General features: G+C 33.9%; 1 protein-coding gene and 1 long non-coding RNA gene across 14 annotated transcripts in view; one reads left to right on the forward strand and one right to left on the reverse strand.

Annotated features, from left to right (window-relative positions):
* GEN1 (GEN1 Holliday junction 5' flap endonuclease) overlaps positions 1 to 20,230 on the forward strand; it is a 35,669-nt gene that overhangs the window by 6,887 nt on the left and 8,552 nt on the right. For 8 of the 13 annotated variants that reach the window (XM_011532822.3, XM_011532820.3, NM_182625.5 and 5 more), the window contains 11 exons: positions 1,232 to 1,418; positions 4,733 to 4,909; positions 6,415 to 6,525; positions 8,574 to 8,647; positions 11,032 to 11,123; positions 12,470 to 12,620; positions 12,932 to 12,968; positions 13,055 to 13,135; positions 14,107 to 14,237; positions 17,838 to 17,899; positions 19,814 to 19,957. In XM_011532822.3, coding sequence (XP_011531124.1) covers positions 1,232 to 1,418; positions 4,733 to 4,909; positions 6,415 to 6,525; positions 8,574 to 8,647; positions 11,032 to 11,123; positions 12,470 to 12,620; positions 12,932 to 12,968; positions 13,055 to 13,135; positions 14,107 to 14,237; positions 17,838 to 17,899; positions 19,814 to 19,957 — 1,247 coding nt within the window. The other 5 variants (XM_047444156.1, XM_047444157.1, XM_047444155.1 and 2 more) reach the window with 5 other exon arrangements.
* Positions 4,293 to 20,230, reverse strand: part of LOC105373449 (uncharacterized) — a 35,858-nt gene continuing 19,920 nt past the window's right edge. Inside the window, exon 4 of the long non-coding RNA XR_939762.3 lies at positions 4,293 to 4,483. This is a non-coding gene — a long non-coding RNA (uncharacterized LOC105373449). The remainder of the gene's footprint in view (positions 4,484 to 20,230) is intronic.

Here is a 20,230-nt window from a genome sequence, read left to right on the forward strand (position 1 = left end):
TTTGTTTCACCTTTTTTTTTCTTTTGTTGTTGTTATTCTTTTACATTTTGAGGTTTTAAGATCTATTTAACATGTCTAGATTCACCATCTTTATATTAAGGACTCACATTCGTACCTCTTACCCTTTGAGCTCCAGACTCACATAGCTATCTCCTACTTAACGTATCCACTAGGATGCTTCAGATACTAAAAGCCGGAGATTTGGGAGACATTTTCTCCCTATTTTACTTCTCTCCACATCTAATCCGTCAGTAAGTCTTGCCAGTTCTACCTCCAAAATATACTTTGTGTTCACAAACTTATCTCAGTGTCCAGAGGCACCACCTCAGTCTATGCCAACCTCATCTCTCATCTATACTCCTGAAGTGCCATCTTCACTAGTTTCTTGCTCTTGGCCTCCCCTACCCCAGACTATTTTCCACATAGCAATTAGAATAATCATAAATCTTTCTTGCTTAAAAATATTCAGTGGTTTGGCCGCGTGCAGTGGCTCACGCCTGTAATCCCAGCACTTTGGGAGGCCGAGGCAGGTGGATCACAAAGTCAGGAGTTTGAGACCAGCCTGGCCAAGATGGAGAAACCCCATCTCTACTAAAAATAAAAAAAAATTAGCTGGGTGTGGTGGCAGATGCCTGTAATCCCAGCTACTTGGGATGCTGAGGCAGGAAAATCACTTGAACCTGGGAGGTGGAGGTTGCAGTGAGCCGAGATCACACCACTGCACTCCAGCCTGGGCAACAGAGTGAGACTCCACCTCAAAAAAAAAAAAAAAATCAGTGGTTTTGGCCGGGCACAGTGGCTCACACTTGTATTCCTAGCACTTTGCGAGGCTGAGATGGGCGGATTATTTGAGCTCAGGAGTTCAAGACCAGCCTGGGCAACATGGTGAAACCCCATCTCTACAAAAAATACAGAAAATTAGCCGGGCATGGTGGCACACACCTGTAGTCCCAGCTGCTTGGGGACTGAGGCAGGAAGATCACTTGAGCCAGGAGATTGAGGCTGCACTGAGACAAGATCATGCCACTGCACTCCAGCCTGGGTGACAGAGTGAGACTCTGTCAAAGAAAAAGAAAATTCAGTGGTTTTCCACTCTAATTAAAGCTTAAGTAAAATGTTATTACATTAACGTTTTTGATACTAGTCTAATGTTCTTGCCTTTGTGTTATACTATTTTGACTTTTACTATCAGTGTTTGATGATTAATGTATTACTAATTTATATATTTCAGGAACTTATTTTTTCGTATCTCATATTTAACACAAATGGATGTAAAACTGGTATTTGTTATGGAAGGGGAACCACCAAAGCTGAAAGCTGATGTCATAAGCAAGAGGAATCAGTCTCGGTATGGGTCTTCTGGAAAATCGTGGTCTCAGAAAACAGGGAGATCACATTTTAAATCAGTCTTAAGAGAGGTGAGCATTCAGATTTGATTCAGTAATTCCGATTTGAATTAAAGGGTGCATTTTACTCTTAATAGTTTGTCATCTTTAATACTTATTAATTTTATTGTGACTAGCAGGGATGTGCCTAGAGAAAAGAGTTTATTTTTTAGAGTGAAATTGACCTGAGTTTCATTCTTGGCACTGGTATGTAGAAACTCTGAGACACTGAGCAAAATTTGTAACCTATCTCTACCTTGTATGTTACCTTGTGAAATGACAACAGTAATACTCAGCAGGGATGTGATAAAAATAAGAGAAAGTATATCTAAAGCAACTAGTACATGGTAGGAACTTGATCATATTACCTTTTATAACACCTTCAGGACTTAAAGAAGTCCCAGAATACATGAGATCTCATTAATTCGTACTTCACTCATTCAGAATTCATGATAGTTCATATACAGAATATATATTTGGCTTCCCTTAGGGCTTGTAATTTTAAAAACTGTCGTTACATTATAATATATTATTTATATGTTACTTTAATATTGCTATATTTTATATTTGTATGAAACTTAAGAAAGAAATCATCTATAGTATATAATTAAAACAATAGGAAGCTTTTTTTTTTCTGTTTTCTTTTTTTGGTTGTTTTTTTTTTTTTTTTGAGATGGAGTCTCGCTCTGTCACCCAGGCTGGAGTGCAGTGGCGCAATCTCGGCTCACTGCAAGCTCCGCCTCCTGGGTTCTCACCATTTTCCTGCCTCAGCCTCCCGAGTAGCTGGGACTACAGGCGCCCGCCACCACACCTGGCTAAGTTTTTTTTGTTTTTTTTTTAGTAGAGACAGGGTTTCACTGTGTTAGCCAGAATGGTCTCGATCTCCTGACTTCGTGATCCGCCTGCCTCGGCCTCCTGAAGTGCTGGGATTACAGGTGTGAGCCCCTGTGCCTGGCCTTTTTTGTCTGTTTTCAAATGTGTGTATTTTTAAAGAGTTGTAGTAGTACACATGATTTTTAACCTAGCCTTTTCACTTAATGCTTCATGTTGTCATATTTCCCTTTTGTCACATTCTAATCAAAATCATAACTTGTAGTGGTTGTGCAACATGTATGAAGCTATGAATCATACCCCTGATTGTATATGTTATTTACTTTTTTAGTTTTTCTCTACTATACATGGAAGTGTGATTAACATTTTTTGTGTATATAATGTTTTCTTGTGATTTGAAATTTTAGATAAAATTACCCAATGTTGGATTGATGGGTCAAAGTTTTGGAATGATTTTATTGCTCTTGCTGATTAATTTCTGCTAATGCAGATGTCAGAGAAGCAGTGTCGGTGCACTCACAAGAACATTGGATGTTAGGAGGCTTGTCTTTGTAATATTTAGTGTGCAACAACAAAGATATTTAATATGCATTTGTCTTTTAATAGTAATGTTAAACATTTCATCTATTTTTAGTCTCCCTTTGGGTAATGGCTATCATCATGTCCTTTACCTACTTACCTCTTGAGGTTTTAATTTTTCTTTTGTGCAAGTTCTTTATGTATTAAGGATATAAGCTTCTATCATATTTGCTTTGAATTTGTTTTTCTTTTTAATTTTAGTTAAAAAATTATGCCATTTTTCTCCTCTTCTGAAATTTTATTTTCTACTCACTTTTAAAAATAGTTTTCAATTAGTGAATATTCCACCCTAATGACTATCAGCAGTTGAAGAAAATATCTGTGCTAAGTTCTAATTACTTCTTGTATAATCAATTCCTGGAAATATTCATGGTCCTCAATCTTAGAGTGTTAAAGAACCAGCATAAAACAAAAAAAGAGATGTCCATCTCTTCTTAAGAAAATTGCTCCATTCCTGTTTCTTTATTGCTGCAGTAATTATGGTGTTCTTAGGCATTTTGTGTCAGTTCAGTATTGCCTGTTAGTCATTTTTATATTTCTGTACTCTTCAGTTACTAGGCCCTGCTTCCTCCTAATCCACTGCTATCTTTTAGGTATTCGCATGAAAAGCACAAATTAGTAGTCCTCCAATACCACCTCCACCCCACATGGTAGAGACATAGAGTGGGAAAAATTGCAACAGCCTTATAGGAAATTCTGTGCTGGTTCTTTGAAAAAATTTGAAGTGGCAAATAGTACAAGAAGTTGAAATAACTGTATTATGAAAGGCTATTTTTTACCTAGGGGTAAGGTCGAAGCAACACTGTCACAAAACTGTCTCTCTAAAATCACGGGGCCAGCGTCCTGAAAAGTGATATTTTTCAACATAGTACTTTGACTTTTTGAACCTTGTCTGCCTTGGGCAACATCTGACAGTGGTAGTTATTATGTAATGTGGCGTGGAAGTGATTAATCAAAGCAAGAAATGGTATTTATTCTGTCAGTCTCTAGAAACTACAAGTAAGTAGCCTTTTCTCCCCACCATACTCAGTAGTCCCTGATAGAGAATGATACATGACAAAAAAGAATGGCGTATTACAAGAAAGAATGAACTAGGCTATAAGGCCAGACTACAAGCTACCCAGCGGGGTTAAATTCATAAACCAGAGGAAAGTCACAGCAAATTATTTGTGCATCAGCAAAATGATGTAATCATTCTGCACAAACATTTGATTTCCTAGGAGGACACTGACAGCTGACTTCTCCGCAGTTTCCCACAATACGAGAGTTTCATTGTACAGGGAAGGCAAGATGAGAAAAAAATGCAAACATTAAAATTCAAGCCAAAACTGTATGATAGCATCTTCTTTGGAAGTACGCGTATTGGGTTGACCATCATGTGAGAAAAATTATTGAAGTCTTCTAGATGTAAATCTTAATATGATTAATTATTATTTAAAGATATTTTCAGAATCTGACTATAATAGCAATGAAATGTGAATATGGATTACTTTGTAATTAACATTAAAATCTTAATTTTTTATTACAGAAAATTTAAATCAACACAAAAGTAACCCATCACTAATCTTAAACCATTATCTTGGCTCATCTTGTTTCATCTATTCCCCTATCCACACATCATTTTGAAGCAAATCGTAGACATAATATTGTATCATTCCCTGTATTTCATGTTTTCTAAAAGATGATTCCTAAAAAATAAAAAGAAACATAACCACAATATAATTTTTATTAGCACACGTAAAAGTTTGGCAGTTCATTCCTTAAAGCCCTCAAATATTCAGTCATTGTTCAAATTTCCAAGTGTTTCTTAAATATCGTAATTTTTAAAACACCAAAATAGCTACTATTAATATTTGTAATACAGAAATAGGTTTAATAGTAAATAAATGAGCAGTGAAAACATTCTTTAACATCTTGCACCTGCTTTTTGTTTTCAGTGCCTCCATATGCTCGAATGCTTAGGAATCCCCTGGGTTCAGGCTGCTGGGGAAGCTGAAGCCATGTGTGCTTATCTCAATGCTGGTGGTCATGTCGATGGCTGCCTCACCAATGATGGAGATACTTTCCTTTATGGGGCCCAGACTGTTTACAGGAATTTCACTATGAATACAAAGGTGTTTATTTTCTTTCTCTTTTTCAGCATTTGTTTACGAACTACCTTTTTTAAAGGGCTGATTAAATGAAATAGTAGATATAAAATGCTTACTGTAATGCCTTGCACGTAGCAATTGCTAATTAAAATGCTTACTGTTATTAAAAATCATTGCCACATAGTTCATTCTCTTCAAAATGTGGATTTATCTCATAAGAACTTGACTTGTTTGTTTCACATGGTTTGATTCTAAATCATTTTCAAAAATACATCACGAATTGCATATGAAAATGTGTTGCTTTGATCCTGAATTTCCAGTTTAGTGTTTCATCCTCAGAAATACCTCCAAATATGCAAAGAGAGAGATATAAAGATGTTCAATGTAGCATTGTTAATAATTACAAAAATTTGGCAAGCAGCCCGAGTGCTCATTGATAGGGACATGGTTAAATCCTTCACACTTACTGGTTCCCAGTTGGAGAGATACTGCTGGGAGACATTTTGGTTGCAACAGTTCAGGCTTGGGCAAAGGAGAGTATAGATATGTGATGGCTTGGTGCCAACCAAACTAAACCTTCTGCCAGACATTTCTGCTATCCCTCCCGAAATGCTAATATTAGCACCCCCATTGAGAAACACTGTTTCAGAGTCCATATGATGTAATACAGTGCAGTCATTGAAAAGGCTATTATTGACATAAAAGATATCCAGACATATTAATGGTGGAAAATTTCTCAAAATAGTATTTTTATATAATCCTACTTTTACTTAAAAAACGTAATTAACAATAAATATTCATATATATGTATCAAAGGAGATGGTTTTTTGGAAGAATATGCACCAAGCTATTAATGATAGCTCAGGCAGTGCAGTTACGGGGAATGTTTACTTTCTATAATATATATATATATATATGTTACAGTGTTTTATTTTGTAAGATGGAAATCTACATTTTTTAGACACCAGAAAGCAATAAAATGGAAAAAATTGGCTAGCATAGTTATTTTTAAGCCATTTTTGAAACTACAACTTTATTTTCATATATTGAAATGTCAGATTCTATAAAGATTCTGCTGATCAGGATAATTTTCTTATATAAAGTTTTTGGAATAATTAAACTTTTTTTCTTTTTTTGAGACGTAGTCTCACTGTGTCACCCAATCTGAAATGCAGTGGTGTGATCTCAGCTCACTGCAACCTCCTCCTCCTGGCTTCAAGTAATTCTTGTGCCTCAGCCTCCCAAGTAACTGGGACTACAGGCACATGCCACCACGCCTGGCTAATTTTTTTGTATTTTTAGTAGAGATGGGGTTTCACCATGTTGGCCAGGCTGGTCTCAAACTCCTGACCTCAAGTGATACACCCACCTTGGCCTCTCAGAGTGCTGGGATTACAGGCATGAGCCACCATGCCCAGCCTGGAATAATTAAACATTTAAAGATAACATTGACAAATTATTTTTGTAATGTGGTTTAATGTATAAATATGTACTTTTTGAGGATTAAACTAAATCTGTTCTTTCTTTAGGACCCACATGTTGACTGTTACACAATGTCATCTATCAAGAGTAAACTAGGTTTGGATAGAGATGCTCTGGTTGGATTAGCAATACTTCTTGGCTGTGATTATCTCCCAAAGGTAAGCTGAAATTGTCATATTTATTTGCTATTCATAAAGTCTTTTTCGTACTTTATGTGCTGTATAAATATGAATATAATATGGCTATATGATTAAAAATCGAATTTAAAATATAATTTCAGGCATAATAAGCTATTCAGTGACTAAAATAATCGGCATTTCAGATGGCACTAAAAAGCTGACTTGTGACACTTAATATTATAAGCAAGAATAGAATAATGTAGTACCACAGCTTGAATCTCAGTAAACTGTTACTCTAGATTAAGAGATTCACATTTATGTTTGACTATCTTTTTAAATAAATATAGGAGTTATTCTTTTCTTGTATTATGCCATTGTTTCTTTCACTCTTTTTTCTGTTTTTTAGTTTTCAGTATTCTTTGTGCACATGCTCAATGCTATTACTGTTGCTAAGTCACGTGATCATTGGGATAAGCCATTCATATTTCCATGCCTCTCAGCGTTGTGCTGGGTTTTGTTCATGGAAATATTTGTATCTTAAGATGCACAATCTAGTGCTCTGTAACAAATAGGTATAACAGGTGAGTGATGAGTTAAGTATTATGAGAATAATCCCATTTTTTTAAATGTAGTGTTTAAAAATAGAAAATGACTGGTATTGTAGGTCTTACTATGTAGTTCCCTTATTATGTTCCTACTGATTATTTCTGTATCCTTACAATCCGTCATTTTACCTCTATTCCCAAGAGAAGTATAAAGAAGAATGACATGTAATTTTTTTTCCATCTGAGCTCAGGAGAAAGGAAAATATAGCAGGGTAATAAAATTATTAAGCCTAATTTGTAATTTATATCATCAAAGAACTTTTTTTAAACTGTGAGGAAAAGAAAGCAGGAGGAAAGAAACTTTTAAATACCACAAACCATTATTTTGTAATTCTCCTTCTAAAGTAAAAGACGATTTCCTAAATAAAATTATATCATAATTAAAATCTATAAACAGCCCAATGTTTAATTTAAGAAAAAATTTGCTGACTTGAACTCACAGAAACCAACTTTAGCTACAGTGGTATTTAAATTATGCATTAGCCATAGCTATATTGACCTTTTGTGTTTTTTAAAACCAAAACTGCTATGTATTTACATTGTTCTACTTAAAGACTTTTAAGACTATGTACTAACTTGATTTGCCTTCAAAAACTTAAAGCTAATGCTAATACAAGAAGAATGATATTCAAGATATCTAATAACGTGTATGCCAAAGACATAGGCAATAGAGATGGAAGAGACTTCTGGGTATCCCTGCTGTGCCATAGACTCTCTTTTTAGTAGCTGGATTCTGGGTATAGGTGGATTGGGAAGTATTCAGGTTAGATGGGACATTCCTGTGCAGGCAGATACTCAGAATGCTTGGGCAGTAGCTATTTACTAACCAGTTAACACGAGTGTGTAAATCCTAGTGTGTACTGGTTAAATAACAGCTCTGCTTATAAGGACATATTCATACACTTATAGGGGCTGGAAGACTCAGTTTAAATCAGAAATTGTGACAGGAATATACATTAAGGCATATCATTTTCGTATATTGGAAATTCACACTTTAAATTTTCTTAAGTTTTTAATTTCAAGAGTTAACTTAAAACGTTCCTTCGTTCTCTGTTTATGTCTGGGTTTTGGAATATTAAATGTTCATGTAATTAAATGAACTTGCTTTTTCCTGATTACAAACATAAAGTTAGGTTAAATTAAAATATTATCCAAATAATTAACATAGTAAATGAAAGCCCTCTAAAATTATGACCCTCCCTTCCCTAAAATAAACACCATCAGTGGTTTGGTATATAACTCGCTGAAATTTTTGTTTACATAGATAACAGTGTAATTGTCATTTACTTTACAAATCCTGATCATATACACTATTGTGAAGTTTTTGTTTTATGCATAGCAGTGTATCTTGCATATCTTTTCCTATCTTTATTGAAGAGTTACCTCATTCTTTCAGCTGCTGACTCTTCCGTTCAATTAATATACTTTTAACCATTCCTAGTGATTAACATTGGAATTATTTTTTTTCCCACTTTCTGAAAGGGAGTCCCTGGAGTTGGAAAAGAGCAAGCATTAAAACTTATACAGATTTTGAAAGGGCAAAGTTTACTTCAGAGGTAACTAATAATTACTTTCTCTTGTGACATTGAACCTTTATTCTTGCTGAACTTAATAACGAATAGTACAGGAAACAATTGTTTTCCAAAAAAGGGTTTTGTATTTTTAAACTGACCTATATTTTGTTTGATTTAAGATAATTTATTTTTATTTATTTTGAAATTTTCCAAAGGAAGGATGAGAATACATGTTCCAAGCCGTATTGCATTTTTTTTTCTTTTTTTGGAGACAAGGTCTCACTGTGTCGCCTAGGCTGCAGTGCAGTGGCGCAATCACTGCTCACTGCAATCTCAACCTGCCGGAGTCAAGTGATCCTCCTACTTCAGCCTCCTGAGTAACTGGGACAACAGATATGCACCACTGTGCCCAGCCACCATACTACATTTAAAATATACATATTATTTATATTAAACATGTTAATATATTAATTTTTAATTTTTTTTTTTGTAGAGATAGGGTCTCCCTATGTTGCCCAGGTTGGTCTTGAACTCCTGGGCTCAAGTGATCCCCCTGCCTTGGTTTCCCAAAGTGTTAGGATTACAGGCATGAGCCACGGTGCCCAGCCACCATACTGCATTTTAAAAAATCTATTATTAGCTCACTAAACACATTTAGTACAATGTCAAGTGCATTTATGTATGACCATGGGCATTTTGCCACTAGCTATTTTAAACCCTTTTACCAAAAGGTAAAGATAAACATGACATTAAAATAATTTTGTATTTAATACTTTGATATTGTATTTTCTTTCTATAAATGAAATGTCTGTGGCGTGTTGTAAATATTTAATAATAAGCAACATTAATTGAAATCTTACTCGACTGGCCTTTGCTTTATAGCTACATATTTAATAATAACATTAATTCGTTTAGTCTCTATAGTTGGAGGATTCAGAACAAGATGCAGATTATATAGAAGTTAACAAACTATGCTATTTACTATCTCAAAAACACATGAATTATATTTGCTGATGAAAGCAATGTTTTATAAAAATTAATATTAATGATGATAGGTATAGAATCAATAAGAAAGGAACTAGGACACTGGGAAACTTAAAACAGTCTTGGCCTCCAGCAGGTTCGAGATGGCAAGTGCCTGAAAAAAATGTTAAGAGGTAAAAATGAAAAAGGAATGACCATAAAAAATACATCAAATCACTGTATTCTTTCCTATGATACTTCTCTTTTAGCTGTAAAACTGTTGATAAATGTAAGACTTCAGTAAATCCATTATTGACATCAGTTATTACTGTGCCCAAGCAAGAAAGGAAAGGTATAATTTGGCCTGGGTGTGAGTTAAGGAATCATTTGGGAATTGTAAAAAATAATATAAAGAAGGAAAAGCAAGTGAATATAACACCTGGCTAACTCCAAACCATTCTTATTGAAACAGTTTCAGCAAATAAGCACTGTTGACACTTGAAAATAATAAAATTACATTTATTTTATAATTATCTATTATTCTGTTTTATATACTGACTTTTCCTCTCAGTTATTTTTAATTTTTGCCGTGCTATTCTTTATCTGGAAGCAATTAATGCTAATTTTTAACAGGCTTGTACTTGGTCTTTGTAGTAAATGAATTAGAAATTCCAGAAGCTAAATAGTAACTCTTAAGTACCAGATACTGCACAATGACCTGAAGAGATAATTTAGCTTTTATAAAAACTTCAACTTGTTTAAGTAGAGGAACATAATTCAGAACACATACGTTTTATGATTAATACCTAACCATACCCTTTGTGGCTTTATGTTAACCTGGAACTTTAGCCAAAAACGAAATTAACTTTTAATTAGTAGAAATCTTTATAGTACTATACATTTTTCTTAAAATCTTTTATGAAGCAGGTAATGTTTTGCTCTTTGCACAAGAGATTAAGAAATGATTATTTTACATGATTTAGCTTTTTGATACAGTTTTCACCCAGAAGATTAATGTTTTATTTAATTTTATATATTACTCTTTACTCTTCTTTCTGATATAGAGAAATGTTCATGATTCTGTTTTGTACTCTGGCACACAGAGTCAGTCTGCTCACATACTGCTGCCTAACTTAAGATTCTTCAAAAAAAAAAGACTGATTGGATATATATATACATACATATATATATATACAATTTTTTTTAATAGAGATACCGATATATAGATACACACACACATATACTCTCTCTCCTGTCTTGCAGTTCTGCTGTCCTTGGGCCTTGGGGCCACATTTAAAGCTTGTGACTGAGGGTTTTCCCACACTAGGCCAGCAACTTTATCAGCCACCAAAGGGAAAATAATTAGGTAGGTGAAAGGGAATAGATCAGCCTGATATTTGAGAACATACCGTTTTTGTGACCTCATTTTTTTTCCTTTTTTTAAAAACCACTTTCTATTAAAGGTTTAATCGGTGGAATGAAACATCTTGTAACTCTAGTCCACAACTGCTAGTCACTAAAAAACTGGCTCATTGTTCCGTATGTTCCCATCCAGGTAAGGAGACATAGGGAATGGTTATTAGTATCTCATACCCATGTTTTAATTCTTGTTCACATAGTACTTTTTACATGCCAATATTAATAATACTTTGAAGGGTTTTACATTGTCTTCTCCACTAGATTAGGAATTCCTTGCAGTCAGTTTTGTTATATACACATAGTAGTCACTCAGTAAATGTTTATTGAAACCAATAATGTGATGTAGATGATAAATATAAGTACAGTTTCAAACTATGATACCAAATTACTTAGATCTTAAAACTATGTTTTCAATATAGAAATCCATTTTAAGAAAAAAATATATACTAATAAGTCTTAGGGAAAATGGAACTGAAACCATTTGTTAATATATTGGTGATTTATATTTATCTACTTAAATGATTCTTCATTGTCCTGTAATGCATTTTGTGTGTGAAGACAGTGACTTAAAACTAATTTCTAATACATGTTCACTATTCTTGAAAATAGCTTGGATCTTCTTCATTAGTCTTGGTTTAAAAAAAAAAAAGACACTACGGAACACGTACTGGATCAGAAAGGCCTTTCATTCCCAAAAGAGATTAGGATATCATGTTAACTCATCTTTTAAAAGAAATTCTGCTATATCTAGTTGTCTTAATATATTTTTATTAACATTATTAAATTATAGATAAAATCATGGAAGAAAATCAATGTTTTTATAAATAAGATGCTATTGTATAGTTTTTTGATAACTTATAAATGACAATTTTAGGTCATATCAAGTATATGTGCTCTTACATATTCTCAAGACAATGTTGAAAGTAATCACACTTTGCTTTTAAAGGGAATTAAATTTCCACACCCGTGCCACAGTCATCATTTGTTCATGTTCCAAGGATAGTTTAAAAATAACTGTAACTGAGAGCTAGACACTAGCAGAGGTAATTAACTGCTATATTCTTTTAATACACTCGTTAAAGAAACTATTCTATTAGAGCTATTCTATTAAGTAAATAATCTTTTTTGCTAGTAATTACATCCTACTTTTTATGCATGTAGCTTCCACCTAAACCAGAAAGTTTTCTGTTGTTGATTATTGTAAATGTATAATTTCAAGTGTCTAATTAACACTTTCAGATAGAAGAATAATTTTTTCTAAAGTGTCATGTGATAGTAATAGCTCAAGATCTACTTGAGCCCAAGAATTACTATGGTGTCTATTACTCTATTCATCCTAAATGTATTGAAACCTTTCTATATGCTAGGTAGTGTGCTAGGCAATATTAATTTTGGAAAATTTAGATACTGGCAAAAAGAATGTATGTAGAAAGTAATTATAAAAGGCAAAAAATATTATACTTTTTTTGGGTCTCCATAAAGGTTCACCTAAGGATCATGAACGTAATGGATGCAGATTATGTAAAAGTGATAAATATTGTGAGCCACATGACTATGAATACTGCTGTCCTTGTGAGTGGCACCGTACAGAACATGATAGGCAACTCAGTGAAGTAGAGAACAATATTAAGAAGTAAGTTTTTTTAAAAACTCATGATTTTTCCTGGCATGACCTATACACATACCTTTGGTTGAATTATTTCCATATAATCTTTCCCCATATCTAGATTAGTCACATGTTTAACTAAATTTTTTTTTCATTTCTGTTCAAAAATTTAGCTAACCTAGGAGATAGTAATGTAATAGTTATTCAAAGGGAAGCTTGACTGTTTGGGATACTGTAAATTCACATTTCTTATTAAATGGGAGGAGATTGGCTGAGATGATTTCAGAGTCTAAAATTGTCTGATTATAGTAATAACATGTATATAATTTTTTTTTCAGGAAAGCTTGCTGTTGTGAGGGATTCCCATTCCATGAGGTAATATCCAGTAATTCAACTCTATTAATTTTAGAAACTTTCTTAAAAGTTTAAATCTCAGTTTCTATTTTCTTTTTTCTTGCTAGGTTATTCAAGAATTCCTTTTAAACAAGGATAAATTGGTGAAGGTTATCAGGTACCAAAGACCTGATTTGTTATTGTTTCAGGTATCTGAAAATAAATTCTTCTTTACTGTATGAAGTTATATGCTGGAAAGATAGGAACAGATATTCACTCTGATTGGTCTTAGAGGAGGTTTAAAATTAAAACAGGCAGCTCTTATATTTTTTCAGCATTTATTTCTACTCTCTCATTTGCCATACAGTGGCCATCTTTGCACACTATAAGACAAAGTATAGTTATGCTGTTTTAGAAGATGCCTTAATTAGCATATGTGGATATATTGCATCCATGGATATTTTGGGGGAAGAGGGTTTAATAACAAGAGAATGTTAAGATCAAGTATATAATTATGGAAGGTAGTATCATTTACAAAAACATTGATATCTGAAATTAATGACCTAAATTTAAATTTGGACCGTATTCCACCTACTGTGTGACCCTGGATGTGTGTTATTCTCAAAACAGAAATAATATTACTTATCTCATAAAGTCACCATGAGGATTAAATGAGATTATTTATATTAACTCCTAATATAGTGGCTAGGGACACGGAGTGGCTCAATAAATTGCAACAACTGGGTACTTACAAGTACCAGCTGTAAGTAATGACAGCCACATTAAGAACGACAGCCACATTAATAATGACAGCCAACATTTGTTAGACATTTAAATTTGCTGTTATGTTTAATGCATTGCATGTAATCTCAATCTTTGTAATCTGTGAAGTGGGTTGTAATATTTTCACATTACAGATGGTAAAACTGAGGCTAAGAGAGTTTAAGTAAGTTACCCAACATCTAAGAAATATCATCCTGGCGTTCAAACCGAGAGCCTTCACTCTTAATCATTATGCAATAATGATTCTTCCTTAGGAGGCTCATTGTTTCTAGAATATTCTCATTGATACTACTTTAACTTACGTTAATTCTAAAGGAAAAAATATTAATATCACCTAGGAGTGCTATTTGTCTCCAAGAGATAACAAAATCTTGTTTTATTTTTATTATATTTATAGAGATTTACTCTTGAAAAAATGGAGTGGCCCAATCACTATGCATGTGAGAAATTGCTGGTACTTTTGACCCATTATGACATGATAGAAAGAAAGCTTGGTAGCAGAAACTCTAATCAACTACAGCCAATTCGGTAATGTAAAGAACTGTATGGTGAAGGTGGTGTTTTTACTTGAGTATTTTATAATTAAAATATTCCTAATATCTTTAAGCTCGTTTTTGTAAAGGTGGAGGAAAGGCCTCCTGGAATATTAAAAGCTTATTCAGGGCTTATAATCAGAACAACATAGTAAGTCATGCTTTATCATACTTTTCTACTTCAAACACATAGTAATAATAGATTATAAAAAGAAACAAGCATAAAAGGATATAGCCAGGCTTTATAAGACAACTATTTCAGTGGACCAGAAAAGGAACAAACGTGTTAAGGGAATGTGGGAACTAAAACTGGTTTTGCAGAGCCTTAAATCTAGAAGCAGCCGTATCATCCAGGAGGTAAATCGCTTCAGAGAAAAAAAAAAAAATGGGGACCAAAAGTGCAAGATGTTGATGGAGTCAGGCTTATTTCTTGAAACCCAGTAGCTAGGGTGGAATTTCTCTGTTCCTATCAGGAGATTAGAGGCTGGGGTAGATAATAAAAAACTAACCAAATGCTGCCTGAAGCCCAGAAAGCCCACTGGAAATTACTCAAAGAGACTAGAGAGATAGAAGTGAAGACAGATAAAATATAAAAGAATTGAAGAAGAAAGCTTAACATATAAAGAAATATAATATTTTTAAAATCAACAATTGCGTCATGAATTCACTTCGGATTAAATTAAGTTTTAAAACAGTCTGACAGGTTTTATGCAAGGGGTGGGTGTGGTTGGCCTTTCAGAATGCTAGAATCCTCAAAAAGATGAAGACATATGTCTGTAAGCAACAGAAGGCAAAATTATAAAAATGTGTGTAAATGGATGGATATAAAAAGTGAACTATTAGCTTAAAAATAGTTGTTGAAATAAAAAGCAATCAAGGGGTCTCTAGGCTAAACTTGGTCCAAAAAAATTAGTGATTTGGAAGACAAATCAAGTCACACAGAAATGATCTCAAAGACTCTCATATAAAAAATGCTTAAGAGTAGTTTTGGATTAGTTCCTAGAAGCTAATAAAAGAAAAGGTTGAAAAGTAATTTTTGAAGAGATGATGTCTGAGAGTTTTCCAAAATTTAAGACAGATAGTTATACTACAAATTATAGTCGCAATACATGAAATACCCAAGGCATATTGTAGACATCAACGATAAAAGGAATATTTTAAAAAGTACCAAACCAATCAGGCAACAATCATCAATGGATGTTAAAACCATTAGATGAAAGATTGCTGCAGAGAAAGGATAGTCACAGTCTCAAGTACCGCTCTACAGATTAATTACAAAGGAAAAATGGTATCTTCAAAAGTGGAGAAATCCAGTGGACATCAGTTTAACTCAGTGATTAATTACCAATAAAAGAACAATAGACTGCTTTCATATGCTTTCTAATACGTTAAACTGAGAAAGATACTACATTATCATATAATATTTTTGCCAAAAAAGCTTGAGCTAGGTGGGGCGTGGTGGCTCGCACCTGTAATCCCAGCAGCATTTTGGGAGACTGAGGCCGGTGGATCGACTGAGCTCAGGAGTTCAAGACCCATCTCTTCCAAAAATACAAAAAATTAGCCAGGCGTGGTGGAGAGCACCTGTGATCCCAGCTACTTGGAAGGCTGAGTTGGGAGGATTGCTTGAGCCTGGGAGGTGGAGGTTGCAGTGAGCTGAGTTCATACCACTGCACTCCAAACTTGGTGACAGAGTGAGACCCTGTCTCAAAAAAAAAAAAAAAAAAAAAGGAAAGTTTAATCTGTATCTAATCATGAGGAAACAATCTAATGAATCCAAGTGAAAAACGTTCTGTGGAGCTATTATCCTGGACTCTTCAAAAATAAAAAATATCTAGGTAGTTTTCTGGATTAAAATAAAGAGACAACACAATTCAAGAAAAATGATCCTGATTGAATTCTGAATTGTTTTTAAGTCATAAAGGACCTTTTTTTTAGGACAATTGGGGAAATTTGAATATGGTCTATATTGTATCATTGTTAAACTTCCAGAGTGTGAAAGTTTTTTGTGGCAATGTAGGAAAATACTCTACATAGACAGGCTGCAGTATTTAGGGGTGATGTGCCATGAGACATGTTTGCAACTAACTTGCAAATGGAGAAAGCAAATGTGATAAAATGTTAACAATTGATGAATCTCAGTAAAAGTATGTGAGTATTCATTGTACTATTTTTGCAACTTTTATAAAGGTTTGAAATTTTTCAGAATAAACAGTTTGCTGGGAAGTATAAAAGAAAAAAGATCAGCTATCTGATAGCACACATCTTTCATAACCGTAATAGATGCCAGAAGATGCTGGAGTGATGTTTCAAAGTACCGAGTAAAAATAATTTACAACCTTGAAATCATTAAAACATTATTCATAGGAAAAGCGTTTTTAAACATATGAAGAGTAAGAGAGTTTACCACTCAAACCTTCCTTAAAAGTGCAGTTAAAGGGCTGGGCGTGGTGGTTTATGCCTGGATTAGCACTTTGGGAGACCAAAGCAGGCGGATCAGTTGAGGCCAGGGATTCTAGACCATTCTGGCCAACATAGCGAAAACACCTGTCTACTACAAATACAAAACATTAGCTGGACCTGGTGGTACATGCCTGTAATCCCATTTACTTGGGATGCTGAGGCACGAGAATCTCTTGAACCCAGGAGGCAGAGGTTACAGTGAGCTGAGATGGTGCCACTGCACTCCAGCCTGAGCAAACAGAGCAAGACTCAAAAAAAAAAGGATAATTTATTTTTTAAAGTGTTGTTAAAGGATATACTTCAGCAAGAAAAAAAATGAACACAGAGGGAAGATGTGAATTACAAGAAACAGTGGTCAGCCCAGGAATTGATTAAAACGTATTTGGATAATTTAATAAACTGACTAGAAAAAATTATGTATATAAATATTTGTATAATATTTAATGATTAATACATGATGATGATGATGATAAGCCAAAACTCCCAAAGTATGCATTCAAACACTTAAGAGTACCTGCTAGAAATATAATCTCTGTCTTCCAAACCAGTACAATTAAAATAAGAAAGTAAAACTATCAAACCAAAATAATACAGGCAGAAGGAAGATGGAAGTAACAAAGAAAAAGCTGGTGACAGCAAACAAAATAAGGTGCATGAATGAATCCAGCAGCTTTATCAGTAATCACCAAAAATGTAAGCAGATTAAACTCACCTATTAAAAGACAGATTATATTGGATAAGTAAATAAAATTCAGCAATATTCAGCTTACAAGGTACATGTAGAATAATACTACACAGAGTTTGAAAATAAAGAGATTTAAGAAGACTTAGTAGACAAATACTGTACTTACCAAAGTAATATAACAAATTTTAAAACAAAAATCATTATTGTGAAGATGAGGAACACTGCATAATAAGGTAAGAAACAACTTACTTAGAAGAACTAACAGTAATAAACTCTATGTACCTAACAATATTATCTTTTGAATAAACTAGTCAAAGGAATAGGCAGTAATTCCTTAAAATGTTTTTACCTGGGAAAAAAAAATCTATGGAAATTATTCAGGTTAGAAATGGAAAATTTCCAAATATCTTATGCAATTAGACTTCATTAAATGAATTTGTTTTTCAGAATTGTTAAGACTCGAATCAGAAATGGAGTTCATTGTTTTGAAATAGAATGGGAAAAGCCTGGTATGTATTCACTTTAAGCAAAATATTCCATTTATAATATTTGACCATGTATGTCTAGTAAATATTGTATATGTGTATATATATATATATACACACACACATAGATATGTGTATATATATATATACACACACACATATATGTGTATATATATGTATACACACACATATATGTGTGTACATATATGTATACACACATATGTGTGTACATATATGTATATACACACACATGTGTGTGTACATATATGTATATACACACACACGTGTACATATATGTATACACACACATGTGTGTACATATATGTATATACACACACATATATGTGTGTACATATATGTATATACACACATATATGTGTGTACATATATGTATATACACACACATATATGTGTGTACATATATGTATATACACACACAGCATGTGTGTGAAAAATAAAGATGAAACCCATCACATGCACCACAGGTTGATTTCATAGTTTGCCTGTGTTATTTTAGATAGGTTTTGACTAATAGTAAATATGATAAACTTTGATTTTATTTTAATGTCTCAATTTGACATTTCTTTTGTAATGTTTAAGGAAGTAATACCGAAATAATTTTTATTTATATTTCTCAAATACATGCTTTTACAAATGCTGTGGTCATTCAATGTCATGTATAGTTGCATCTGAAAAAATTGAGATTGTTAAAATACTCCTGGGGTACACTTCCTTTCCTTTTTTTTTTTAACCCTGCTTAGTTTTCAGTGGGAATTTTTTATTGTCAAATTATTCTTATTTTTGCTCCAGACAGAAATACAGTGAACTCTGAATTAGCTCCCAAACTGGAGATAGTGAAAAACAGATAATTTAAAATGAAAGTAATAATACTTTTTTTTTGAGACGGAGTCTTGCTCTGTTGCCCAGGCTGGAGAGTGCAGTGGCACCACCTTGGCTTACAGCAACCTCTGCCTCCTGGTTCAAGTGATTCTCCTGCCTCAGCCTCCCAAGTAGCTGGGGTTACAGGCACCTGCCATCATGCCTGGCTAATTTTCATATTTTTAGTAGAGATGGAGTTTCGTTATTTTGGCCAGGCTGGTCTCGAACCCCTGACCTCAGGTGTTCCACCCACTTCGGCCTCCCAAAGTGCTGGGATTACAGGCGTGAGCCACTGCGCCCAGCCTGGAAAGTAGTAATACTTTTGATGGCCCTTTCAATTGTGTTCTTTTCAGAAGCTATCACTAAAGAAAGCTGATGTTGAGTTTTAGGAAACTGTTTCATTTCTTACCTGGAATTTTAACACTTAACTGAATTAAACCAACCAACCTTACCTAAACAAAGTTTTCTGTCCTTTCAGCTACTGCTACCATCTCTGAAATAAGAGGATTTAAAGTTCTAATTTAGAAAGAATCTCCATCCGGCCATTGCCAGGCAAAAAGAAAATAAATTATGTACTGCTATCAACAGATTGTTAGAATATAGTGTTATAAAGCAAGATTTGCAATGAATAGTTCATTTGTGAATGATTTATTTTACCTGATAAAGCTAGTTACCTGGAAAGATTGATTTTTTTTTTTTTGAGATGGAGTTTTGCTCTTGTTGCCCAGGCTGGAGTGTAGTGGTGCGATCTCGGCTCACTGCAACCTCTACCTCCCAGGTTCAAGTGATTCTTCTGCCTCAGCCTCCTGAGTAGCTGGGATTATAGGCACGCACCAGCATGCCCGGCTAATTTTTGTATTTTTTATAGAGACATGGTTTCACCATGTTGATCGGGCTGGTCTGGTGTTGGTCAGGCTGGTCTCGAACTCCTGACCTCATGATCCGCCCGCCTTGGCCTCCCAAAATGCTGGGATTACAGGTGTGAGCCATCAAGCCTGACCGATTGAATTTTTTTAAATGCCTAATTAAGGACACTTTGCTGTATTTTTAATCTTTTAGAACATTATGCTATGGAAGATAAACAACATGGAGAATTTGCTTTATTAACAATTGAGGAAGAATCATTGTTTGAAGCAGCATATCCTGAGATCGTTGCTGTTTACCAAAAACAAAAGTTAGAAATTAAAGGGAAGAAACAAAAACGTAAGTTTTGGGTTTGATAGCTATTTATGCCACATGCAAATGTTATAGAAGAGCCACCTCTTCTGTTTGAATCTGCTGTGTCTAAATTTTACTGAAAAATCTATAAACTCAAAAGTCAAGAATTGTATTCTTCCTTCTTTGTCTTCACATACTTTCTTTTAAAGCTGAAAAGCCAGGAATAAATCATTCTGTTCTGTCTACTAACTTAGACACGTGTTAATAATAATAGTTATACTGACTAGTTGTTCAGCAGCTACTGTTTATAGCATATTC

This window comes from Homo sapiens, chromosome 2, assembly GCF_000001405.40.
Source record: "Homo sapiens chromosome 2, GRCh38.p14 Primary Assembly".
In the NCBI taxonomy this organism is placed as follows: domain Eukaryota; kingdom Metazoa; phylum Chordata; class Mammalia; order Primates; family Hominidae; genus Homo; species Homo sapiens.